Consider the following 24,537-nt stretch of genomic DNA (forward strand, 5'->3'; position numbering starts at 1 on the left):
CCTTCCCCACGGAAGAGCGCTCCCCTTCCCCACGGAAGAGTGGTTCCCCCACCACAGAAGAGTGGTCCCCCTCCCCACAGAAGAGTGCTCCCCTTCCCCCACAGGGGAGTGCTCCCCCTCCCCACAGTGCGCTTTTCTCACGTGTCCTAAGTATGGGTGGTGCGGGGTGAACGCATTGTCCACAGGGAGCAGCCACCCCTGGAGGCAAACAGGAACACTCATTCTTGATCTAGATGGTGCCAGGTTGAAAGGAGGTTTTTAAAATAAGTGCAGGCTCATGTAGAGATGGCTGCTGCCTGGCCTGATGTTGCATGGGAAATGCAGCATGGGAACCCTTGGGGGGTGGGGGAGACACCTCCTGTGGAAGGGGGTGCTGTCCTGTCACCTCCCATGTCGAGTTGCGCCTGAGACACTAGTGTCTGTGCTGCTCAGCATGTGGTCCCACGGAGGAGCCCCTGCGGGCGCTGGTCTCTGTGGGAGACTGGGGTGTGAGCACGCGGTGTCACAGGTCGTGTGTGGGGGGACTTATGACAGGTGCTGTCTGATTTCGTAGTCTGGATGTTCATTAGCATTAATTTCAGGCACTGGACGACCAAAAGTGAGAAAAGGGAAAACCTGAGAATTTGCTCAGCTGTGTAAAAATGATGCCACTTACGATAATTCTGCGAAGCTACCGCTTATGCCAGCTACCTGTGGAGCGCAACATCGGCTTCCTGAGGCAGTCTCAGCCTGCTCCATTTTATTTCACTTAGATGGTATCCCCCGTGTGTGACGGCCGGCCTTCGCCCTGTGCCTCCCCGCAGTGTGGCTGGATCTCAGGGGGCTCGGACACGTGCTCAGACTGAAGGTCAGAAAGAGCATTTTCCATTCTGACCCCTGACAATGGCAAGACTTTCCACAGGTAGACACCTGTTTTTCCAATCCTTACTGTGTAGCGAGACTTTCTGCAGATAGACACCTGTTTTTCCTTATTGTGTACGTGGGCAGAGGGGAGAGGCACTCACTCAAGAATTTCCTAGATGTCTGATACAGAACTCACCCTGTGAATCTAGTTAGGTTTCTAAGCATCAGTAGCACAGTGTATGACAGCACATGTGCCAGCAGACCTCACCTGTGCAGAGGGTTCTATGGAGAGGCGAAGTCGTTAGCCTGCTGTGGCTTCTCTGGGGAAGATTCAGACTGGCAGACAGTTGCTCCAGTGCCCTCATCCTTGATCTGCTTACTCCCTGTGATGAACACATGTATTTTGTGAGATGTCTGCCACATGGGTGGGAAACGTGTATTTTCACCATCGTGAAAAAAATATGGCTGTATTCAATAGCATTGCTGGAAAATAGAATGGGCTGAGGGAGGTTTTTAAGGGTGTGGTTATTGGGCAGATGTTGCAGGTTCCTGCTACAGTGTGATGATCTGTGCAGATGTTGTAGGTTCCTGCTAGCACTGACGGCATAGGCAGGTGTTGTATGTTCCTGCAGGTTCCTGCTAGCACTGATGGCATAGGCAGGTGTTGTAGGTTCCTGCTACAGTGTGTGATAACCTGTGCAGATGTTGTAGGTTCCTGCTAGCGTTGACGGCATAGGCAGGTGTTGTAGGTTCCTGCTACAGTGTGATGACCTGTGTAGATGCTGTAGGTTCCTGCTAGCACTGACGGCATAGGCAGGTGTTGTAGGTTCCTGCTAGAGTGTGATAACCTGTGCGATGTTGCAGGTTCCTGCTAGCACTGACAGCATAGGCAGGTGTTGTAGGTTCCTGCTAGAGTTGACGGCTTAGGCAGATGTAGGTTCCTTTGAGCTCAGGAATGTAACACAGTAAGCTTAAGGTAACCTATACAGCTTCAGGAAAAGAGGATTGGTTGTTTATTTCCTGTGGTCTCAGGGTGTCCTTCCCTGGAGTTTAGTATAGGCCCATCCACCATCCAGAGGCTTCATTTTGAATTTGGGGAGTTTGCTAAGAACTTTAACCAGGTCTGAAGGAAAAAGGGGAGTTGTGCATTTGTAAAGTATTTGGTTTTGATTGAACCAACAGTGCAAGTTACAGGTTAAGCCAGTTTTCAGGTTAGAATATTTCCTGCTGGTATGGACGTGGTCATTTTAGTCATCATACTATGACGGCTGAGCTGCGTGTCCAGCTGCGGTGAGTGGGCCACTTGCCTCTTTCACGTAAGGAAGGCTTCCTCTTCACGCATTTGTCAGTGGTCAAGAAAGTTAAAACAAGAAGGCAGGAGAATGTCGCTGTCCTCCCAGCACCCGGTTTGGGACGGTCTGGGAGGGTGTGATGGAGTGCAGTGTTCTGTATGTTGATGTGTGTTGACGGATTTCTCTGTCCTCCCGGCACCCGGCTTGGGACGGTCTGGGAGGGTGTGATGGAGTATGGTGTTCTGTATATTGATGTGTGTTGATGGATTTTTCTTTCCTCCCGGCACCCGGCTTCGGATGGTCTGGGAGGGTGTGATGGAGTGCAGTGTTCTGTATGTTGATGTGTGTTGATGGATTTCTCTGAGTGGCGATTTCAGGGATGCTTATTTCTGTCCAGTGAATCTCAGACATGGGGAGCCTAATCTTCACATTTGGTGACTCTCCCTGGCAGCTTCTCACGTGAAAGCTGATTGTTAGCTGCTGGTGCCTCCCTCCCCGGCCCTCTGCTCACCACCTGCCCTCACGGGTGAGCCGCTGCACTTCTCGGGCTCGTTGGCCTGCAGTCAGCTCTCGGCTCGGTGCTGTGGAGGTGTTTTGCTTTTGCCAGGAAAGTGCATCCTCCACACCTTCCCTCCTGGTCGACTCTTAGTCACCCGGCTGGTGTGTAAAGCACAGAGTGCTCTGAACAGTGTTCCAAGTGTGTCCCAAGTTAAAACGTTGTGGTTAGCCAACTCCAGTTCAAATTCCTTCCCTACTTCATGTAAGATATGTGAGCTCTCCAGCCTCAATTTCTTCAACTGGGAAATGAAAATAACAGGGATGTCCCTTTCAAACAATGGTGAGTTTTAAATGTGATCATACATCTGGGAGTCTTAAAATAGTACGTGGCACACAGTGATTCATCAGAAAATGTGAGGATTTTACTGATGGGGTAATTGGGCACTGGATAGCTAAGACTTACTAGTTTCGAGATAAGTTAGTAGCATAATAATAATAACTATTACTATTATTTGAGACGGAGTCTTACTCTGTTGCTGAGGCTGGAGTGCAGTGGTGCCATCTCGGCTCACTGCAATCTCCGCTTCCTGGGTTCAAGCAATTCTCCTGCCTCAGCCTCCCAAGTAGCTGAGACTACAGGCGCCCGCTACCACGCCTGGCTAATTTTTGTATTTTTAGTAGAGACAGGGTTTCACCATGTTGGCCAGGCTGGTCTTGAACTCCTGACCTCAGGTGATTCACCCACCTGGGCCTCCCAAAGTGTGGGGATTACAGGCGTGAGCCACCGCCCCAGCCCATAATCAGAATTAGAATGTAGCTATTTAAAATTTTATCCCAGTGTTTTAAAGTATGTTTAGAGTATTAGTACCACCCAAATAAATAATCATTCATTCTTTTATTCAGTTGGTAATAATGTGAATGTTTAGTGAGTACTAAGCTCTTACTGTGTACCCTAGTATGAAGAGAATAAAAGGATGCACAATAAATATACATCCCCTAATCAGAGACAGTTTCAAATTTTAGTTTATAATTTGTAGGTGTTCCTCCTCACAGCTATATATTAGAATCATATGAGAATGAGTGAGGAAAGCCAAAAAAACAAAAGGATCATCGAGAAGCATAAAACAAAAAGATTAGGAGCGGTGAGAGGCAGGACCCAGGCTTGGTATTGTTATGTTTTAAATAATTTTCTAAAGTTTTGAATTGTAAAAAAAGCATGCATGGAACTGACCATCATAGCCATGTTAAGTGTACAGTTCAGCAGTATTGAGCACCTCCACATTGTCGTGCAGCGGAACTCCAGAAATTCTCCGTCTTGCAAAACTCAGCCTCTGGGCCGTTAAACTAGGTGTCCCCACCTCCCCTCCCCCAGGCCCTGGTGACCACCGTTCTGCTTTCTCTGTCTGTGATTTTGACCACTTTAGATACGTCATTTCAGTGGACTCATCCTGTGTCGTTTTGTGGCGGAATCACGTTCTGTTGTGTGTATACACCACGTTTTTCTTGTCCGTTCACCTGTGATGGACTCTTGGGCGTCTGCCGTAGGCCGCTGTGAATGCTGGCGGCGGTGATCGTGTGCTGACGTCTCCTCCACGTACTGAGTTCGTGTCTTTTGGATGCGCGCCCAGAGGTGGCACTGCTGGATCCTGTGCTGGGTCATACCTATGTTTAATTCTCTGAGGAACCTCCGTGCTGTCTCCATAGCAGCCGTGTCGTTTCACACTTGCACCAACAGTGCACAGGGCTCCGGTTCCCCACGTCCTCACCGGGTAACTGGGGTTCCGGCTCCCCACGTCCTCCCCGGGTAACTGGGGTTCCGGTTCCCCACGTCCTCACCGGGTAACTGGGGTTCCGGCTCCCCGCGTCCTCCCCGGGTAACTGGGGCTCTGGTTCCCCACGTCCTCACCGGCACTTGGCACTGTCTAGTGTTTTGGTAGCAGCCATCCTGCTCCGTGTAGGTAGTATCTCATTGTGGGGTTTTGTTGTTGTTTTTTAGAGACAGCACCTCGCTCTCTTACCCAGGCTGGAGTGCAGTGGCACAACCATACCTCACTGCAGCTTCGACCTCCTGGGCTCAAGCGATCCTCCCACCTCAGTCTCCCCAGTAGCTGGGATCACAGGCGTGCACCACCATGCCTGGCTAATTAAAAAAAAAAAAAAAAAAAGACAACTTTTTTTGGAGAGGGAGGGTCTCATTAGGTTGCTCAGGCTGGTATTGAACTCAAGTGATCCTCCTACGTTGACCTCCCTAAGTGCTGGGATTACAGCTGTGAGCTGCTGTGCCTGGCCTCATTGTGGTTTTAATTTGAGCACTTTTCATCTCCTTATTAGACCTTCTTGCTACAAATGTCTATTGAGGTTCTTTGCCTATTTTAAAATCGGGTAATTGATTTTTTTCTGTCATTGGCTTGCATTGGCATAGTTTTTTTTTTTTTAACTTCCTAAGTGGTACTGACGTGTGGCCGGGGTGAAAACCTCTGGCCTAGGTATGGAACAGGTAGAGGGTGTTACCGAGATGATGAGTAGGAGTGTTCAGAAGGTGGTAGGGATCACCCGTCTGCTCCGGAGGGATCGCTTGTTGAGATGAGATGAACGCTGCACTTGTGGACATGCAGACGTCTTGCAAACAAGTGGGGTCAGGATGTGGTACTCAGGTGCAGCCTCAGGGCCAGGGTGGATTCGGGAGCGTAAGGGAAGGGACTGTTGCTGGAAAGAAAAGTAGGTATTGAAGGAGGTGGAGGCAAAACAGTCCCTGCACCTCTCCACCTGCAGACTCAGCTGCCGCCACTGCAGCCTCCCGGAGCTTGGCGTCCACGGGTAAGGACCTCCCTCAGCTTGTGGGCAACATGTCTTCAGCCAGCGTGCCAAGAAACTGCAAAGGCAAAATAGTGTTTTTGGCAGTGTTTCAAAGAAACAGAGAGTGCATTATGTGCACATTCAATAGCCCTACTGTAGCTTTTTAGCAAATTACAAAAAGTAACACAGGGCCTGGTATGGTGGCTCATGCTTGTAATCCCTGCACTTTGGGAGGCCAAGGCCGGCGGATCACTTGAGGTCAGGAGTTCGAGACCGGCCTGGCCAACATGGGGAAACCCCATCTCTACTAAAAGTACAAAAATTAGCCAGGCATTGTGGTGCACGCCTGTAATCCCAGCTACTCGGGAGGCTGAGGCAGGAGAATTGCTTGAACCTGGGAGGCGGTGGTTGCAGTGTTCAGAGATCACGCCATTGCACTCCATTCGGACGGACAGAGTGTAAGACTCCATCTCAAAAAAAAAACAAAACAAAACGAAGGAACACAGGATTGTATGCAGAAAGAAAGGGTAAGGCAAAATTGAAGGGATGGGATGAATTTGAGCATCCCTCATTCCAAAATCCCAAATCCAAAATGCCCAAAAATCTGAAACTTTTCAAGCACCAGCATGATGCCACAAGTGGAAAATTCCATTCATAAGCTGTTGACACAAACTTTCATGCATAAAATTATTTAAAATATTGTATAAAATTACCATCAGGCTGTGTGTATGAGGTGTGTGTGAAACACAAATGAATTTTGTGTTTAGATTTGGGTCTCATCACAAGGTATCTCATGATGCATATGCAAATGTCCCAAAATCCAAAGCACATCTGGTCCCAAGCATTTTGGATAAGGGCTACTCAACCTGTATTTATAGACAGAAGCTAGAAGGCATTTGTGGGACTCTCAAACTAAGATGGGTCTTCATTACCTTCTAACTTTGGCGATCATGTAGTAGATATATTTATTCTGAGAAACAATCATAAATATAAATGCATTTCTTTCATTTCTTTTTATTGAGATGGGATCTTGCTCTGTTGTGCAGGCTGGAGAGCAATAGCATGATCTCAGCTTACTGCAGCCTCCGCCTCCTGGGCTCAAGCAATCCTCCCATCTCAGCCTCCAGAGTAGCTGAGACTGTAGGTATGCGCTCCCACACCCAGCCAATTTTTGTATTCTTTGTAGAGACAGGGTTCTGCTCTGTCACCCAGGCTGGTCTCAGACTCCTGGACTCATGCGATCCATTCGCCGAGGCCTCCAAAAGTGCTGGGATTACAAGCGTGAGCCACCACGCCCGGCCTGAATGCAATTTTTACATTATAGTCATTTATGCTTCTTCCTGTTAATCCGAAATAAGCAATTGTGTTTTTGCTAGCCAGCTACAGAGATAATGTAAAAAATGTTTTAAAACCATATTATCAAGCAGAAAATGGTGCTTGTAGATCAATATCTTCAACAGTTTCCCATTAAAATTTCAGTATGTGGTCGGATCTAACTACTGGAGGAGCTTCGAGGTCATGCCAGTGTCCTTAACACTCGCGTTTGTTAAAGACAGCCACTGCCGCCCTTTGCGGCTATGTGCCTCACCTCTTCCACATCACGGAGCACACACAGAATGTTGCCATTTGAGCCATGCACTGGGTCACGGGTGGGCTGGGCGTCAGGGTGCCCACAGCTGGAGTGACCTACAGAGCCCAGCTCTGCTGGGGCCCCAGGGCAGGTGGCTGCAGCGTCCCCAGCGGCCTCCCTGGCGTGCCACAGCATGAGGCTGTCTGCTCTGGTGGATGCCGTGGGCCATGGATGCGCCTCCATCTCCGCACAGTGCAGCCGGTCTAGCTCCCTAAGCCGCCAGGCTCTGTGCCCAACTCAAGCAGCAGCCAAGTGGAGAGAGCTGGAATGTGTCATCCCTGGTCCCAGCCTTCTATTTCTTAATAGAAATTAAGAACTTCTGCCACGCTTAAAAGAATAAGGGAAACTTTCATTTCGTAGCATTCTAACTTTTATTTTAAAAGTCTTTCACTATTGAATGACTTTCCTGAATTAACTACATTCTCAAAAATATTCCCAGCATTGGTCAAAGGCTTAAGGAATTTTTTACTAAAAGTTGCAACTTGTTGAGTATTAAAAGTCTTACAGATAAAAATAAGCAAAGGAGATTTACAGAACTCAGAAAAGAAGAGAAGACACAGATATGCTTTGGGGAAAGTACTGAACCTAGATATTAATCAGAGAAAAGCTGGGAACGTTGATTCCTAGGAATGTGGATACTGTGTTAGGAAGAGAAAGGGAAGGAGAGTCTCCATCCTCCCACGTGGGGACACGTCTGCTGAAGGATGCGGGGTTGAATCCCCTTCAGCCTCTCGTGAATTTCTGTCTTAGGGAAGGAGAATCTCCATCCTCCCACGTGGGGACACGCCTGCTGAAGGATGCGGGGTTGAATCCCCTTCAGCCTCTCGTGAATTTCTGTCTTAGGGAAGGAGAGTCTCCATCCTCCCATGTGGGGACACGCCTGCTGAAGGACGCGGGGTTGAATCCCCCTTCAGCCTCTCGTGAATTTCTGTCTTAGGGAAGGAGAGTCTCCATCCTCCCACGTGGGGACATGCCTGCTGAAGGAAGCGGGGTTGAATCCCCCTTCAGCCTCTCGTGAATTTCTGTCTTAGGGAAGGAGAGTCTCCATCCTCCCACGTGGGGACACGCCTGCTGAAGGATGCGGGGTTGAGTCCCCTTCAGCCTCTCGTGAATTTCTGTCTTAGGGAAGGAGAGTCTCCATCCTCCCACGTGGGGACACGCCTGCTGAAGGATGCGGGGTTGAGTCCCCTTCAGCCTCTCGTGAATTTCTGTCTTAGGGAAGGAGAGTCTCCATCCTCCCACGTGGGGACACGCCTGCTGAAGGATGCGGGGTTGAGTCCCCTTCAGCCTCTCGTGAATTTCTGTCTTAGGGAAGGAGAGTCTCCATCCTCCCACGTGGGGACACGCCTGCTGAAGGATGCGGGTTTGAATCCCCTTCAGCCTCTCGTGAATTTCTGTCTTAGGGAAGGAGAGTCTCCATCCTCCCACGTGGGGACACGCCTGCTGAAGGACGCGGGGTTGAATCCCTCTTCAGCCTCTCGTGAATTTCTGTCTTAGGGAAGGAGAGTCTCCATCCTCCCACGTGGGGACACGCCTGCTGAAGGATGCGGGTTTGAATCCCCTTCAGCCTCTCGTGAATTTCTGTCTTAGGGAAGGAGAGTCTCCATCCTCCCACGTGGGGACACGCCTGCTGAAGGACGCGGGGTTGAATCCCCCTTCAGCCTCTCGTGAATTTCTCAGTCTTTCAGTCCACTTTGCTCACTAGTGTTTACTGCACTAGGTTTTCGTTTGGGAGAATAACAAAGCCTCCTTTGAGTTCGGGGAAGGTTGGAAGTGGAAGCTGCCTGTTTGGGAGAGATGACTTCTGACCTCTTCTGGGTCACGTAGCTTCCCCCTGCCTTTTTATAACAAGTAGAATTGTTATGATAATTACCGTCATCATGATATTTTTATTTATCATTATCCTCTCCTTCATCAAACATTTATAGAGCAATTAATTCTGTGCCATTCTAACTTCATCGGTGTAATGTCATCATGAGGTACAATAGCATTATTATTCCCACTTTAGAGATGGGAATTGAGGCATAACACGTAGACGGCTGCCCACTGTGGAGGAGCTGAACCTTGGCGGTGGGGCCGCAGGGTCTCTCTGCTCCCTGTGGGACCGCCCTTTTCTCACTGTTGTGAGCAGGGCTGTTCCTTTCCAGCAAGATGAACACCGGTGTAAGCGCGTCTTCGTGTCCTTCCATGGATGTTTGTAGAGGTGGAGCTACTGTGTCGAAAGGCATGTGTCTTGGTATTGTTTGTTTACTGCTAAATTGCCACCGTACGTTTTTCTTCCATGAACAGCCTGCGAATACACCCTGCCATTTGTTTATTGGGCTGTTCATTTTTTTCTCTTGATTTGTGAGAGCTCTTTTTATATTAAATAAATTAGCCCTTGCCAGGTACAGTGTGGCTGATGCCTGTAAACCCAGCACTTTGGGAGGCTGAGTTGGGTGGATTGTTTGAGGCCAGCAATTTGAGACCAGCCTGGCCAACATGGTGAAACCCCATCTCTATTAAAAATACAAAAATTAGCCGGATGTGGTGACGCGCACCTGTAATCCCAGCTACTAGGGAGGCTGAGGCATGAGAATCACTTGAACCCGGAAGGTGGAGGTTGCAGTGAGCCGAGATCGCACCAGTGCACTTCAGCCTGGGCGACAGTGAGGCTCCATCTCAAAAACAAAACAAAACAAAACAAAAAAAAAAACAGACATTGGCCCTTTGACTGATATGCATACTGCAGATAATCCCCCCCCCCTTTTTTTGAGACAGGGTCTTACTCTGTCACCCAGGCTGGAGTGCAGTGCTGTGATCCCGCGTCACTGCAGCCTGGTTCCAGTGATTCTCCCGCCTCAGAGTGCTGGGACTACAGGCATCAGCCACTGTGACTGGCCTCCCAGTTTTTCATTTGTCTTTTGACATTATGGTATACACATACACACATGCGTGTGTGTAAATACACAAATATATATGTCATTGCATCTTTGTAAATAACGATGTGGCTAAGTCGTTCATCTTTTCCTGAGCCCTGGAGTGCCCCATGCTTTTAAGGGACCCCTTCCCCCTTTCCACAGGTATAAGCCTTTCAGGAATTGGTCTAGTATTGGTCATTCATTTGTTAGGAAATTAGGATGTTTCCTTTCTTAGGGCCTCTCACTGTAAACCCTGTGTCTGATTATGTCATAAATGGCCTGCCTCGTTTCAAGGTGGGGGACGTCTGGCAGCAGAGAAGTCACAACAGTGACGGCGGCTGTGTCAGGTGGGGATGTACATGGAGAAGAAAATGGGGCAGGACAGTGGGGCTCGGGGCCGGGAGGAGGGCAGCCTTTTTCTGTGCTGCAGTCAGGAAGGCCTCCTGCGAGGACCTGTTTGAGCACAGGAGTGACATGCAGCGCCATTCCCAAAGTCTCCTGGGTTCCCGGGGGTGGAGAGTGCAGCTCAGGAGAATCCTCCCGGCGGGCGCCCCTGTGTGGAGCGGGTACCCCTGTGCCTGGTGGGCGCCCCTGTGCGGAGCGGGCTGTGAGGGACGGGGGCTCCTCTTTCTGTCCCCACCCCCAGCCTGCTGCCATCGTCTTCAGCACTGAATACGCGTCCGTCTGACGGGTTGTGTATTTCTATGTGAGAAAATTAATGAGGAATTTTACTGAGAGTTGTTCTGACCATACAAACTTAATTGCCCTTTCAGTGGAATGAACCACACATTTCTACAACACAGAATACCGTAATGTAGTTTAATAGCCTGGAATAGCAGTAGGATGCCAAGAATTTACTTTCCACCGCCGATAACCACAGTGTCCTTGCTGGCCATCCTACAATTGCTAAAGAGAATGTAGTTGTCAGTGTAGCATCGGGACTTTCCAGGAAAGTCAGCCAGGATGCACCCACCTGGGAGTGGCTTCCGCCTGGCCTCCAGCAGCTGCCGAAGGAGCCGTGTCCTTTGGAGTTAATGGAGGGACTGGCTGTGTATTCAATCACATATGCTACATGGTCTACACATCCTGCCCACAGGTGAGTTAACAGGTCATCTTTTCATCTTTCACTCTAAGTCTTGGGGCAGGAGGTAGAAGTCAGTGACATCAGGCCCAGGGTAAATGAGTCAGTGTTCCCAATGACATATACGGTGGCTTACAGTTACCCCGGCCCAGACTTTTTTCTCTCTGTCCCTCCGTCCCTTTGTACCTGCGTGTTATGTGGATGGCGTGCATGTGTCTGCACAGCTGCGTGATGTTCCCCTGTGGACTCAACCTCCCCCGCCCCTGGCCGCCCCACATCATGGACAGCTGGGCTCCAATCTTCTGCTTTTATAAATAGTGCTGCAGATGCCTTGTGAGTACATCAGCTATATTTCTGCGAGGACAGCTTTGGGATCGCTTTGGAGAAGGGAGATTTCTGAGAAGGGGGGTACGTTTGCGGTTTGCTCTGTCAGTGCCGTAGGAGGATGCCTGTTCTCCACCTACCTCGCCAGCAGCCTGCGCTGCCCGGCTTGCCAGCTTCTGGGCCTGCCTACCGCTGCTGGATGAGATGCCACGTCCTGTTGTGGTTTTATCTTGTACTTCTCCTGCTAACAGGCAGGTTGAGAATCTTTTTATGTGTTTAAGTCCATTTGCTGTTCTTTTCTCTTTTTTGAAAAAGAACAGCTTGTTTATATCTTTTGCCCATCTTTCATTTGGGTTGTGTCTTGAGGAGCTCTTTATATACTTCTTTATTCTTGATATTTTTGTGTGCCTGATTCCTGACATATTTATTATTAATAATAATGGAGCAATAAAGTGAGTCACATAAAAAAAATAATGGAGACAGTGATTCCCAGGCCAAGAGACACATAAATTATTTAACTGCAGTCAAACAGGCTTATGTTAGAAGCGCTTTTTCCAAAATGCAATGTAGAGTTATTTAAATTTAAAAACATGCTGAGGAATTAAAGAAAGAAGCCATCTATGTTCTTCCTGGGGCATCATTTGAGCTCATTACGTGGACACCGCTGCCTCTGAAGCTGGTTCTGCCACACGCCTGACAGGCCGATCACAGCCTGACCTTGACCAGGCAGCATCCAGGGCGTCGCTGTCTCACCGTGGTCCCCAGTGTTTTGGGATTGAGGAGGGGTTCGGCTTCACTCTCTTCAGCGCCTGGGGCCTTCATCCTGAGCCGCAGTTGGAGCCACGGTCCCTGCTGCTGAGATGTGAGAAAGGCCTGCGCTGGGGTCTGGGAAATTCGTTTTCTCGCAGAAGGCAGAGAAGGCCGTGGAATAACAGGGCCGGGTTCTCACTGGCGGGACTGTTCACCTCTGCAATCTGCCCCTTAGTGCCTCGGCTGATTCTTGGTCTTTGGAGACCTGGTCCCCAGTCCCACCTCTGCATATGCCTCCAGATAACGCTCGCCATGTTTGGGGTGTATGAGCATGCTCCTTGCGTTCACTGTCACCCAGGCATCCCTCCCAGCGGCCCTGTGAGGCAGGTGCCACCCCACAGCCCTGCTCTCCCGCCGAGGAAACTGAGTACTGGGCTAATTCACCTGCCAAAGCTGCATGCTTGGAAAGTGGTGCTTAGAGCCAGGCAGGACTCACTGCGGCTCCTGTGCTCCACGCTGCCCCCCCGAGAGGCAGAACTTTCTCAGGCCACCTTCAGGGCCTCCTGGAGAGGTTGAGCCCCAGACTCCTGGGAAGCTGTTCCCCCACGTTCTGTACTCCACTCACAGGTGGACCCATCGCCTCCAAAGCCTGTGGGTCTCATTGGCTGGAATGTCTCACACTGCAGGGCACCTGGCCACCCAGGGGCGTGTCACAAATGCGGGCGGGGGGCAGGGCTCCACCCCACAAGCCTGCTCAGGAGGCCTCTCCACGATCCACAATCGACCACCTGTCCATGGAGCTCCGGGAATGCTGGCCCGGCCCCACTGCAGGGCTTCCCCAGCCCTCCTAGACACCCTGCACTTGCCCCTCCCGAGCGCGTGTGCCTGACCTGCTCCGCGGTGGGCGCAGAGCTCCTGCCGAGGGCTGGATGGCGCGGACCTGGGCATCGTGGCCTCTGCAGTGCCAGCTGTGCCCTAGTAGCCAGGGCGCCGTCGTCAGTCCATGGCTCAGGAGGACCACTGTGGGCCGATGAAATGCGACTGTGGACGAGGAAATTGTACTTTCCGAACATTTTCACGTGTCCCCAAACAGTTACTTTTCTTTTGATTTTTTTCAACCATTTAAGGACGTAAAAGCATTCTCAGTTCATGGACCACACAGACAGGCTGCAGGCTGCACGTGGACTGGGGGCGGGTCTGTGGGCCTCTGCTTCACAGGTCAGAGGTCGCTGGGTTTTCGTGTCTTCTGCTTTCCATTGCACAGTCCCACCCTCTCCTTGGATCCTAGAACTCTGCCCAGCTTGGACAGTCTCTCTACACCCAGAGACCGGTTTTCCGCTTCTTGTCTGCGTCCCTTGTAGCAGTCACCCACAGGGCGCTTGCCAGAGGACGGCCCCGAACTGCCTATGGGATCCCTCCAGGTCCTCTCAGAGCCTCCGTTTCTTGCATGTAAAATTGACACAAGAAGAGCCTCCCTGCAGGACTGCAGCCAAGGTTAGCCAGAACCATTTCCAGTCACGGAACCGTCACTCAGAGCAGCTCCCAGAACCATTTCCAATCATGGAAGCGTCACTCAGAGCGGCTCCTAGAACCATTTCCAGTCAGGGAAGCATCAATCAGAGCGGCTCCCAGAACCATTTCCGGTCACGGAACCATCACTCAGAGCGGCTCCCAGAACCATTTCCGGTCACGGAAGCGGCACTCAGAGCGGCTCCCAGAACCATTTCCGGTCACGGAAGCGGCACTCAGAGCGGCTCCCAGAACCATTTCCCGTCACGGAAGCGGCACTCAGAGCGGCTCCCAGAACCATTTCCGGTCACGGAAGCGGCACTCAGAGCGGCTCCCAGAACCATTTCCCGTCACGGAAGCGGCACTCAGAGCGGCTCCCAGAACCATTTCCGGTCACGGAAGCGGCACTCAGAGCGGCTCCCAGAACCATTTCCGGTCACGGAAACGGCACTCAGAGCGGCTCCCAGAACCATTTCCGGTCACGGAAGCGTCACTCAGAGCAGATTCTAGAATCATTTCCAGTCATGGAAGCATTACTTAGAGCAGCGTAAATTTCTTAGCAACCCTGGTGTTGACATATGTTGATTATAATGATATCCTTACAACATTAAACTACAAAGCCAAAACCAAAATACAAATTAAATAAAACTTAGTCTGTGAAACAGGTTAGATTCCAGGCAGGGTCTACGATTCTGGCTGGCTGTGCGAATCGACCTCTGACCCCAAATAACTAAGGGTCATGTCCATCGTTGCGGTGCCTTCAGGAAAGGGGAAAGTGTTTTTCCTGGCAGTTCTTTCTCTCTAGACCCTGCAGGCCACCTCTCTCACCTGCGTGTTGGGCTTCAGGATCAGGGTCCCCTTCCAGTCCAGGAGAGGCACCTGTATCTGCCTTCTGCCCAGAGTGTGTGTGCTTGTTGAGTCTGACCACTCACTGGGGCGCTCTCTTGGTAACAGGGTCCCTGTCACCTAGACCTTACCTCCCAGGGTCTAGCGGATGGCGGGGCAGGTGGGGGACGGCACGAAAAACAGCAGACACGATTTCAGACCGCTGGTGGCGGCTGAGCTCAGGTGGGCCTCACCTGGAGAGCCTGGACGGTGTCAGAGGTGCTTCTTGGCTGGTGGCTGAGGCTTCCCAGATGCCTCTTTGCCTTTCTTCTGGGGCACGGCCCTCTGCACCCCAGGGCAGCCTGTGTGGTGTCTGACGATTTCCACAGCAGCCAGAGCAGCTTGTGGCAGCCGGGGCCTGCTCCCAGCGAGGGGTCTGCTCCCAGCACGGGGCCTGCTCCCAGCGCGGGGTCTGCTCCCAGCACGTGGTCTGCTCCCAGCACGGGGCCTGCTCCCAGCGCGGGGCCTGCTCCTAACGCATCCACTACATCTAGTAATTTACTAGTTGAAATTGTTACATACTAGTTACATCGTTTACAAAATGATCATATTTGAAGAATTAGCTTTCTGTGGATTTAGTCCACATTGATGTGAGCACCTACTGTACATGAGATAGCATGCTAAGTGCTTTTTATTTATTTAGGCAAAAGATAAAAAGTTACTGCTGCTACAATCTGTAGTGTTACTGGTGGAGCTATGCAAGCTCGTGGATTTAGGGAGTCCAGCCTACGAGAATGGCCGCCTGTGACAGAAAGCAGGGGCGAGCGTCTGGGAATAGAGCTGTGCTCATGGCAGAACAAAGACGTGCTGTGTTTCTGGCCTTTGTGTTCTCTCCAGTGGTGAACAAACATAGGAAGCTTTCATCTTCAGAGTAAACAGAAATTCCAAACCCATTTCACGCAGCTTTTTCTAGAAGGCAATGTGTTTAATCCACTTGTTTTCCGAGTCTCTTAGTGTCATCACGACTTCCTCTTATGTCGGTGTTAATTACTGTCACAGGTATTTGCGAAAACTACAAGGTCTATTCAGGTCAAGACTAGCTTCTCTATTTCCACATTTTACTTTGTGTTTCCACAACTGGGCTGTTTTAGACCTCTGCAGAGGAGAACTGATTTGAATCGGGAAAAGCAGGAGGTCCCCTCACGGAGGTGGACAGGACGCCCACTCCTTTCCCAGGCTGGCCTCCTTGTCTCATCCCTCAAGGGAAGGGCCAGGGGCACGGACCAGCAGGCCAGTTGTTCAGTGTTCAGGAATCTCAGGAGACATTGTTAAACATTAAATTACAAAAACAATTAAGTTGTATTAAAAAGAAAAGTCTTTAAAAATACCTACTCAAAACGTCTTTCTTCCTGATTGTCTTGCTGAGTGTTTCGCTGCAGTCTGTGCTTCCAAGGATGGCGTCATGTGTGTGCGGCAGAAAGGCGAGGTTCTGGCAAGAGTGAGTGGCTTTAGGTCTGCACGCTGTGTTAGGGGAGCCAGGGGCCAGCGTGGTGGGGTTCCCAGAGAGCTGCTTCTGAACTTCCAGAAGCTTCCAGGGAGTCCACGCCACATGCACGAGTGCGGGACACATGCTACTCAGGTTCCATCCAAGTCTCAACCTTTGTTTTTACACTAAAGACATTTTTGTTGTTGTTTTTGAGACAGAGTCTTGCTCTGTTGCCAGGCTGGAGTGCAGTGGCACGATCTCGGCTCATTGCAACCTACACTTCCCAGGTTCAAGCAATTCTCCTGCCTCAACCTCCCAACTAGCTGGGATTACAGGCACGCACCACCATGCCTGGCTAGTTTTTGTATTTTTAGTAGAGACAGGGTTTCACCATGTTGGCCAGGCTGGTCTCGAACTCCTGACCTCAGGTGATCCACCCACCCCTGCCTCCCAAAGTGCTGGGATTACAGGCTTGAGCCACCACACCTGGCCACTAAGGACATTTGAAGTAAGAAGAATGGATCAGTAAACACTTCACATTTCTTTTTTTTTCTTTTTTTTCTTTTTTTTTTGAGACAGAGTCTCTCTCTGTCGCCCAGGCTGGAGTGCAGTGGCACAATCTCGGCTCACTGCAAGCTCTGCCTCCTGGGTTCACGACATTCTCCTGCCTCAGCCTCCCGAGTAGCTGGGACTACAGGCGCCCGCCACCATGCCCGGCTAATTTTTTGTATTTTTAGTAGAGATGGGGTTTCACCGTGTTAGCCAGGATGGTCTCGATCTCCTGACCTCATGATCCGCCCATCTCGGCCTCCCAAAGTGCTGGGATTACAGGCGTGAGCCACCGCTCCCAGCCTACATTTCTTAAATCTATCTTGCTAGCTCCTCTCGCACTTGAAATCAAATACTCCAGCAACTAACACTTGTGAAGCATTTTTCAATTTTCCTGCACAGTTACATTATCTCAGAACGGTTCATTACCGTGGGGTGTGTGCTCTTCATAAATGCAAACTGATGCAGAAGCAGCCACCAGCCAAAAAATCGGCTTTAGAACGTACAGTTTTGTAGCCTTCATTTTTTACGTTACATTTTCAGTTAAGATGTGAAAATCATTGAACCAATTCATTTAATAAAAAGTTGAGTAACATTTATATTTTGTCACTTCCGTGGGTAAACATAACACCAAATACTTCTCTTGTAAAAACAGCAACGTGTGCAGGGTATAGAAATTCATCCATTCCCCTGTCCCCTCTTATCCTTGGTGAGGACTCAGAGGTTTGCTGCAGAAACATTCGTGCCTGCAAGCAAAGGAAAGGATTAGAGCAGGAGGCGGCTGGGGGAGCTCTGGGTAACTCTGGGTGGATGAGGCCACATCCTGCAGCCCTCTGGTGAGGTTCTTCCTGTTGCGTGCTGGGGTTTAAACCTGGATCTGTCTTGCTCTGAAGCAGAGGCTCTCACCTGGGAGCAGTCTTGTTCCAGCCACCCGCAACACACTTGGCAGAGTCCGGAGACTTCTGACCGTCATGACGGTGGGGGTTGCTCCCAAGACCCTGCTCTGAAGACTTCCTAACCTGCGTGCTCTTTCAACAATAGCGCGTGGACACATTTTTAACCTGAGCGATGTAACAAATTCAGCCAGCTGTGACGATGACTTTTCAGTTTTACATTAACAGTTCATTGAACTTATACACCAGTAAAACTTCTGTATCACTGTGAAGGGCTCAGCAAATGTACTTTCATTTATTGATGCAGAAATTGGAGATTGGTACTCTTTATCATCTGCTTACTGTGTAAAGGATGTTTCCAGGATGATCTAGAAGGTTTTCAGTGCCTGTTTTGTAAACTTTTAATTTTTTTAATAGAACAATTTTATTTTTTCCTATTTTGCCAAGAAGACAGAATGAAGTCAATTCCGAAATGGCAAATTCTTCTGTTTATAAAATGTTATAAACATTTTATCACCAGATAATCACGTTAATTTTTGTAAACGCCCTTGGGTAGGTTATTCGCACAAGTTATGCATTTTTCATGTGAGTTGCTTTTCACTTAAAAAGTGCATGCAACAGAAAGCACCACCTTGTCGAATCGATGTGCTGAGCTAATTCCTGTCATCATTAACTGGACAGGAACCGAAGGAAGCCGTCTGGCAATATGCCTTAGGGTGGCAGATGCAGCTTGGGGCTTAAAGGAAGAGAAATAGAAAGATTTGACTCTGTTGAAGAGCAGTGTGTCATCCCCGAGCCGGATTCCATTTAACATCTTATAAACAAAACGTGAGTCTTTTCATTTCTCAGTCTTCCGTGTAAGCAATCCAGAAAGTGGGAATAAAAGTAATTTCTCTTGTTTTTCTCTAATTATTCAAAATTCATAGTAGTACAGTTGAGGAAGGGGCACCTCGCTGTGAGTTTCATGCTTCCCTTCGTCCAGGCGCTGCTGTGTCCTGGGTGCTGTGTGTATAGGGCCCCCGCCGAGTCCAGTGTGGGTGGCAGAGACGCATCCAGAAGCCCCCAGTAAGTTTAGCATTACCCATTTGGGTGAGGACTATGGAAGAAGAGTTCCTGGTGATTTCAGTAAAAAAGATGTTTTACATGCCAGATAGAAACATGCTCAAATGATAACAACATGATTTGGGTTGGGTTATTAAGTTGTTTTTTTAATGTTCTTTTTAAAAAAGATTTGATCTCAATGTAAACAAACTTGCCTAATTTTTTTCAGCTAGTTCACACAGACATTCAATATGCATTCATCAGCTGGCCCTGTTCCCTCTTCTTGCTCAGAGGCTGGAAGAACTTCCCATGCACCAGGTCATGTTTGCGTAAATATAATTACACTGTATTATGTAAATATAGTTACCAGCATAGTTGTTAACAGTTCTGCCAATAAATATTTATTGCTTTGATCTGAATTTGATAATCAAACTGAGATTTAAAACACAGTGGCCCGGGAAGAATCAAAGGAAATTGTAACGACACATTCCTCATTCCTTCAGTCCACAGGACTTTTTAGATGTTGTTGGGAGGTGGAGTGGGGATGATGACCCCTTAGCCACAGTTTCCCTTTCTGTAGTTTCAGTTACTTGAGATAACCGAGGTATGAAAATATTAACAGGAAAATTCCAGAAATAAACAATTCCCAAGTTTTAACTTGTGCACCCTTCTGGGGAGCGTGGTGAAACCTGGCTCCGCCTGCTCCATCGCTCCAGGGACTGAACCCTCCCTTCGTCCAGCGTCTCCAGGCTGCGGACGCTCCCCACCCCCCTTATGGCCTCTCGGTTATCAGATCCGTGGTCCAGGGGTCGCAGTGCTCGTGTTCAAGGAACCCTCATTTGACTTCATCATGGCCCCAAAGCACAAGAGCAGTGAGGCAGGCAATGCGGGTACACCTAAGAGAAGCCAGAAGGTGCTCCTTTAAGTGAAAAGTGAAAGTTCTCGACTTAATAAGGAAAAAGAAAATGGTACGCTCAGCAATCTCAGGAGATGTTGTTATGTTGCCAAGATCTCCAGTCAGATGGAATCTTCTCTCTGTGAAACTGGGAACAGCATATTGTTATAATTGTTCTATTTTATTATTAGTTATTGTTAATCTCTTACTGTGCCTAATTTATAAATTAAACTTTATCAGGGGTGTGTGTTCATAGGGAAAACATTGTGTCCATAGGATTCGGTACTCTATTGGTTTCAGGAATGCCCTGGGGTCTTGGAAGCACCCCTGAGGATAAAGGGGACATCGTGCACATAGGTTTGGGTACTATCTCGGATTCAGGAGTCCCCTGGGGTCTTAGAAGCACCCCTGAGGATAAAGGGGACATCGTGCACATAGGTTTGGGTACTATCTCGGATTCAGGAATCTCCTGGGGTCTTGGAGGTGCCCCTGAGGATAAGGGGGTTGCTGCACCCACACCATTGCACACCTTAGTCTGTCACTTGTCAGCCGGTGTGGCCCCGGCTGGAACACTGTGGCTCATTCTAGCTGTGCTTTTAGAAAATTCTTGAGACACACCTGTTCGGCCAGGTTGCATAGTGAACCTGCAGCAGGGGTGGGGCCTCCCCAGGGACATTTTGGCCAAGCTGGCATCAGCTGCCCCAGGCTTACAGGCTGAGTGTCACACTCACCTCCTCCCTACTGGAGTCAACTGCCTAGCCCTGTGGGTGTTTGAGTTCGTGACCTCGATGGAAGATAGAAAGCAGCAGGAAAGACAGTCCCTGTTATCAAGGCATTGTAACCTAAGGTCATGGAGACTCGTGCTTATGAGGTATATGTGGGTTTTAAGTGTGTGGGAAACCTTCACAGGGCAGCTAACTGCAGACCTCCCAAACCCCTCCTCCTCCTCTGCCCCAGCTCAGGGTGGGCTTCTGGGCCGGGTCCTGCTGGCCTCCTATCACAGCGAGGTTGGAATCTGTACTGTGGAGACTGTGGCATTTCTGCATCATTCCTGATGCCCGATGCTGAGATTAGGAAATCGGTCTCTGAGGCTGAGAGGCAGTTTCTCAGAGTATGAGCTGGGACCTGAAAGGCCGCTGTTGGAAAGACAGCAGCAGCCTGCAGGCCTTTGTGAGAACTGTCTCTATGGGCCCCCGAGACTGCTGTGCGCCTGATGCAACAATCACTTGTTGACAGGAGGTGTCTTCAGTCCCGGCCGTGGTTCGGAGGAGACCACGATAAACTCCTTCAGGATACTGCTCCATCATTTTCCTCACCCGAAGATAAGAGCCAGCTACAGACGGGTGTGTTGGGTGTGACGCAGGCTGGAAATGTGCAGAAGTGGTTCATTTTTCTTCCCCTTAACTCCCATGTCCCTGTGGTAAAATTCCATTGCTGTAAAGTCATGAGCTCGAAACCCAGTTATGCTCAGCTAAGTTCCACGGAATAATTTCATTCAAGATCATAAAACGTAAAACATCACAAACAAAAAGTGTCTCTTTACAAATGCTCACGGTATGACGGGCAGCCCTCCAGGAGTGGCGTGGAGGCCGGGGCACTCAGTCACGTGTGTGCCGGGAGCACAGGCCTTCCTCGCCGTGCGCGGCTCCTGAGCTCTGAGTGAGGCAGACGGTGGCAGTGACCCATCCTTTTCTGGTAACTTCTTAGGGGCAAAGAATAAAACCATTCTTCAGTTTGCCCCATTTTATGCCTTTAATTTCAAAAAGCATTTGACAGACGCAGAAAAGCGCATCCCTGAGCAGCCCTGCGCGGTGGCTGAGTGCCTGCGTCCAGGGAGTTGAGTATAAAGATCTTCTTCCTTCGTGATAATTTCTATGCCTGCATGTCTTACCATGCCTGATTATAGCAAATCCCAGGTACACGTTATAACAACAGCTATTACGTTGTAAACCGAAAACAAAATTCTAAGCCCCCAACCAACGGAATGGACCTGCATCTTGGCCAAGGGGACCCCAAGGAAATGGGAAAGGCGAGTTCAGGCTCTGATGGGAAGAGGGGCTCGGACAGGCCTCATCCCACCCTCCTCCCTTTGGACCAGCAGTGACATTAAAACAGAGACCTGAGACTGACAAAACAGACTCTCTGTACCAGTAAGTTTCCAACCTGACTCTAGTGTACCCTCACATGACCGATAGCAGGCCCTGAGAGAAATTATCTTACCTCAAAATACATTTCATTGACATATTTTGAAATGGCCCCTCACAGCTGTCTCTTGTGGGGGAAATTTGCATTCTGTAGAGAATCCACTTCCCTTTCCAGCTCTTTTCTGGAGGGTCTGAACCCTTTTAGGCTCTGCTAAGAGACACTCACCATCTCTTCTCTCTGAAGCCTGCTACCTGGAGGCATCCTCTACATGGAGGAACCTTGGCTTCCACGACCTCCTTATCTTAACTTCACGCTGACTTCAACTCTTCGTGCCGAGCTTCACTCTTTCAAGCAGTCGCCAGTCAGGAAATCTTTGAATCCACCTGTGACCTGGAGGCTCCCCCACCCCCTGCTTGGAGATGTTGCACCTTCCCAGGCCAAACCAACGCCACCTTCCATGTGTTGGTTTATGTCTTTGCCTGTCACTTCTGTCTCCCTAAAATGTGTCAAATCAAGCTGTGCCCCAACCGCCTTGGGCACACGTTCTCAGGACCTCCTGGGGCCATGTCACAGGCCATGGTTTTAACTTTGGCAAAATAAACCCCTAAATTGATTGAGAGCCATTTCAGATACTTTTTGATATAAACGTAAGTTGTGGAAAGAGATGACATGTTTTGTTTGGAGTGTTACCAGGAGTTGTTAGGATCTTGGAAAGTCACAGCTTGCAGTAGCCCTGTTTGGCCGTAGCCCCCATAAAAGCAGGAGTATCTGTGTGGGGTGATGGAACCCTGACCCTAGGCGTCCTGGCACGGTGGTGCCTCTGCATTCACGGTGACATCGCTCCTGGACACTTCGCCTCTGACACCTGCGGGGCCCCGGCCTGTTCCTTATAGGCTCATGCTTGAGTGTTTATCACGACTTAGCTTCCTTGTGTCTGTCACAGACAGTGCACTGTAGTGGTTTGTAGAAGTTCCTGGTGCAGGTAGCCCTGTTCCTTACGATTTCATGGAATGGGGACATTAGGAATATTTGTTTCCTGATGGAGGGGTTCCTGGGTCTGTCAGGGTTAGAAGACCTCCTGATGATGAGCAGAACAGGGCAGGGAGAACTCTGTCTGGAAGGTCCAGGCCTGGGCTGGGCCCCCACCCTGCCTCCCATCCAGACAGAGTCCCAGGTGGGGCCTGTGGGCTGTGACTGCTGCAGGGATGGCATTAAAGGAGCCGAAGAGGACCTGGAAGCCCAGGAAGCTGGTGACGTGCCCCCTGCATCAGGCTGTGCATTAAGTCACCGCATTCAAAGGGTTTGTGTCCCCTTGATGGGCTCGTCTGCCTGGGGCTGGGGCTGCAGTGGGCTGGAAGTGCAGAGTCCTGCGTTCACACTGGATGGCTACTGAGGTGAATGGGACCCAGGCACGTTTTCTTATGGAATGTCCACAGCCTGGTTGTTTATCCCAGAAGATCAGTAATAGTGACACCCTCTGACCATGAGCCAACCTCTTTCCTTAGCTCAGGGCGCTACCAGTCTGGGCTGGTAGAAGCCCCGACACTTGCCTCACTCGGATCCCTGGAGGAGGATTATATGGGCACTGGGGCAAGGCAGGGACATCTTGGCAGCCTCCCCACCGCACGCTTTTCTTGCAAGTCCTTTGAACGGCACCTGCTCCTTAGCTGCTGCCTGGCAACTTTGAGGGTTTCAGTGAGATGGGGTGAGTGCTTCCCAGCCAGCAAAGTGCGTTGACAGTGGCTGGCTTGCCCCCCCTCCCCCCCGCCCCGGCTCTGGAAGCTTCTCCCCCTGGGTCTTCCAGTCTCATGTCTGGACACAGACAGGAGAGGTGAGGAGGAGCAGCAGGGGTGGCCCGGGCAGTTCCTGTGACCTGGAGGCCTGGCAAGTTGTTCTGACGGCCAGGCCCATCCTTGGGGAGGCCTCTGAGGACGCCTGGAACCCCAGGCCCGCCCTGCCTTGTTTTCTGGTCCTGGCCTGGGGGGGTCGTGGTCTCGCTGGTGCAGCCTCCTCCGGGCAGGCCCCGCCTCTGCTCCCTTCCCCTCACTCCATCTGATTCGGCCCCGTTTCCTTGTCCACTCCACGTTCTTCTGAGCGTGTCTCTGGGACATGGTTAAGGTTAAGAAGCGGCCTCTGAACGAGGGAGAATGTACTGAAATTGCCTAAGTGAACTTCAAACACAGGAAGAAGCGCTCAGTCGATGTTCATGGTGAGAACGAGGGTTGATCTTTTGAATGAGTCACGGGTTTGAGAGAGACCTAAGAACCATTCGATCTGAAAACTAGATTCACTTTGAACAAAATATCTCAGGTGCTAAATACTCCAGTTAGTGTGGGGAAATGTCTCTGAGAACGAAAGCTCTGACTGACCGGAGCCTGCTACAGTGGATCTGAAAGATGCTCACGAATAATTCTCGCTGCAGAGCTTAGTAAACCAACAATACAAACGATTTTCTGTAACGACCTCCCGTAAAGCAGCCACTCCCCTCACAGCGCTGAGCAGGCGTAACCGCCAGGGTCCTCCCCCTTCTGAAGCCGCGGCTTCCTTGCAGGCCGGTGTCCGGCGTTGATCCTTTAACTGACCATGGGCAGTTTTAGTTCACGAGTGTGGATTCTTGGGATACGGTCGGGGGCGGATCCCCCTGTCACGGGTTGTAGAAATTGACGCAGCGTTTTCCGATGTGCCCACCTGCTTGAGGAAGGAATAGTGGTGGAGACGGACTTCTTATTCTTCAGATGTGCCCACCTGCTTGAGGAAGGAACGGTGGTGGAGACGGACTTCTTATTCTTCCGACGAGGCAATCTCTGCCTCTCCATGCAAGGTCGTCCAACCTGCCTTATTTTGTTGTTTTTCTGTTTTCTTTTGTTTTAGGCTTTTAGCAGCCTGAAGCCATGGTTTTTCATTTCTGTCTCTAGTAATAAGCAGAAGAGGGATGAGTAAGGGGCTTTACTGGCCCAACCAGAAACAAAAAGTAAGAACCCAAAACTGTATTCTCTCCTTTGGACACCTGTGCTGGGGGGAGAAGCCCCTCACCCAGAGGCTGTCACAGGGCATTCCTGGGACCCTCTCTTTCCCAGACT

At 50.1% G+C, this 24,537-nt stretch overlaps 1 protein-coding gene and 1 long non-coding RNA gene across 15 annotated transcripts in view, besides 9 other annotated features; one reads left to right on the forward strand and one right to left on the reverse strand.

Annotated features, from left to right (window-relative positions):
* Positions 1-24,537, forward strand: part of ATP11A (ATPase phospholipid transporting 11A) — a 197,131-nt gene that overhangs the window by 51,898 nt on the left and 120,696 nt on the right. The window lies entirely within an intron of this gene.
* Positions 3,514-12,796, reverse strand: ATP11A-AS1 (ATP11A antisense RNA 1). 2 transcript variants are annotated; one of them, NR_046661.1, is made up of 2 exons: positions 12,559-12,796; positions 3,514-5,505 (listed from the first exon to the last, which is right to left on the reverse strand). It is a non-coding gene; the product is annotated as an ATP11A antisense RNA 1 (long non-coding RNA). The 2 variants fall into 2 exon arrangements; NR_109811.1 differs by lacking the exon at positions 3,514-5,505 and having other exon boundaries at positions 10,765-12,796.
* Positions 4,278-4,799: an enhancer, noted in NCBI's record as "H3K27ac-H3K4me1 hESC enhancer chr13:113400527-113401048 (GRCh37/hg19 assembly coordinates)". NCBI's record gives its function as "activates a minimal SCP1, AML or CMV promoter by ChIP-STARR-seq in primed H9 embryonic stem cells {active_cell/tissue: H9 hESC(primed)}" and the evidence as "EXISTENCE:reporter gene assay evidence [ECO:0000049][PMID:30033119]".
* Positions 5,444-5,943: an enhancer, noted in NCBI's record as "H3K4me1 hESC enhancer chr13:113401693-113402192 (GRCh37/hg19 assembly coordinates)". NCBI's record gives its function as "activates a minimal SCP1, AML or CMV promoter by ChIP-STARR-seq in primed H9 embryonic stem cells {active_cell/tissue: H9 hESC(primed)}" and the evidence as "EXISTENCE:reporter gene assay evidence [ECO:0000049][PMID:30033119]".
* Positions 13,073-14,272: an enhancer, noted in NCBI's record as "BRD4-independent group 4 enhancer chr13:113409322-113410521 (GRCh37/hg19 assembly coordinates)". NCBI's record gives its function as "activates an origin of replication core promoter dependent on BRD2, P300/CBP, MED14 and CDK7 cofactors, and independent of BRD4, by STARR-seq in HCT116 cells {active_cell/tissue: HCT116}" and the evidence as "EXISTENCE:reporter gene assay evidence [ECO:0000049][PMID:35650434]".
* Positions 14,252-14,811: an enhancer, noted in NCBI's record as "H3K27ac-H3K4me1 hESC enhancer chr13:113410501-113411060 (GRCh37/hg19 assembly coordinates)". NCBI's record gives its function as "activates a minimal SCP1, AML or CMV promoter by ChIP-STARR-seq in primed H9 embryonic stem cells {active_cell/tissue: H9 hESC(primed)}" and the evidence as "EXISTENCE:reporter gene assay evidence [ECO:0000049][PMID:30033119]".
* Positions 14,812-15,370: an enhancer, noted in NCBI's record as "H3K27ac-H3K4me1 hESC enhancer chr13:113411061-113411619 (GRCh37/hg19 assembly coordinates)". NCBI's record gives its function as "activates a minimal SCP1, AML or CMV promoter by ChIP-STARR-seq in primed H9 embryonic stem cells {active_cell/tissue: H9 hESC(primed)}" and the evidence as "EXISTENCE:reporter gene assay evidence [ECO:0000049][PMID:30033119]".
* Positions 20,556-21,103: an enhancer, noted in NCBI's record as "H3K27ac-H3K4me1 hESC enhancer chr13:113416805-113417352 (GRCh37/hg19 assembly coordinates)". NCBI's record gives its function as "activates a minimal SCP1, AML or CMV promoter by ChIP-STARR-seq in naive and primed H9 embryonic stem cells {active_cell/tissue: H9 hESC(naive and primed)}" and the evidence as "EXISTENCE:reporter gene assay evidence [ECO:0000049][PMID:30033119]".
* Positions 21,104-21,649: an enhancer, noted in NCBI's record as "H3K27ac-H3K4me1 hESC enhancer chr13:113417353-113417898 (GRCh37/hg19 assembly coordinates)". NCBI's record gives its function as "activates a minimal SCP1, AML or CMV promoter by ChIP-STARR-seq in naive H9 embryonic stem cells {active_cell/tissue: H9 hESC(naive)}" and the evidence as "EXISTENCE:reporter gene assay evidence [ECO:0000049][PMID:30033119]".
* Positions 22,534-23,517: an enhancer, noted in NCBI's record as "H3K27ac-H3K4me1 hESC enhancer chr13:113418783-113419766 (GRCh37/hg19 assembly coordinates)". NCBI's record gives its function as "activates a minimal SCP1, AML or CMV promoter by ChIP-STARR-seq in primed H9 embryonic stem cells {active_cell/tissue: H9 hESC(primed)}" and the evidence as "EXISTENCE:reporter gene assay evidence [ECO:0000049][PMID:30033119]".
* Positions 23,518-24,499: an enhancer, noted in NCBI's record as "H3K27ac-H3K4me1 hESC enhancer chr13:113419767-113420748 (GRCh37/hg19 assembly coordinates)". NCBI's record gives its function as "activates a minimal SCP1, AML or CMV promoter by ChIP-STARR-seq in primed H9 embryonic stem cells {active_cell/tissue: H9 hESC(primed)}" and the evidence as "EXISTENCE:reporter gene assay evidence [ECO:0000049][PMID:30033119]".

Source organism: Homo sapiens, chromosome 13 (genome assembly GCF_000001405.40).
Source record: "Homo sapiens chromosome 13, GRCh38.p14 Primary Assembly".
Taxonomy (NCBI): Eukaryota; Metazoa; Chordata; class Mammalia; order Primates; family Hominidae; genus Homo; species Homo sapiens.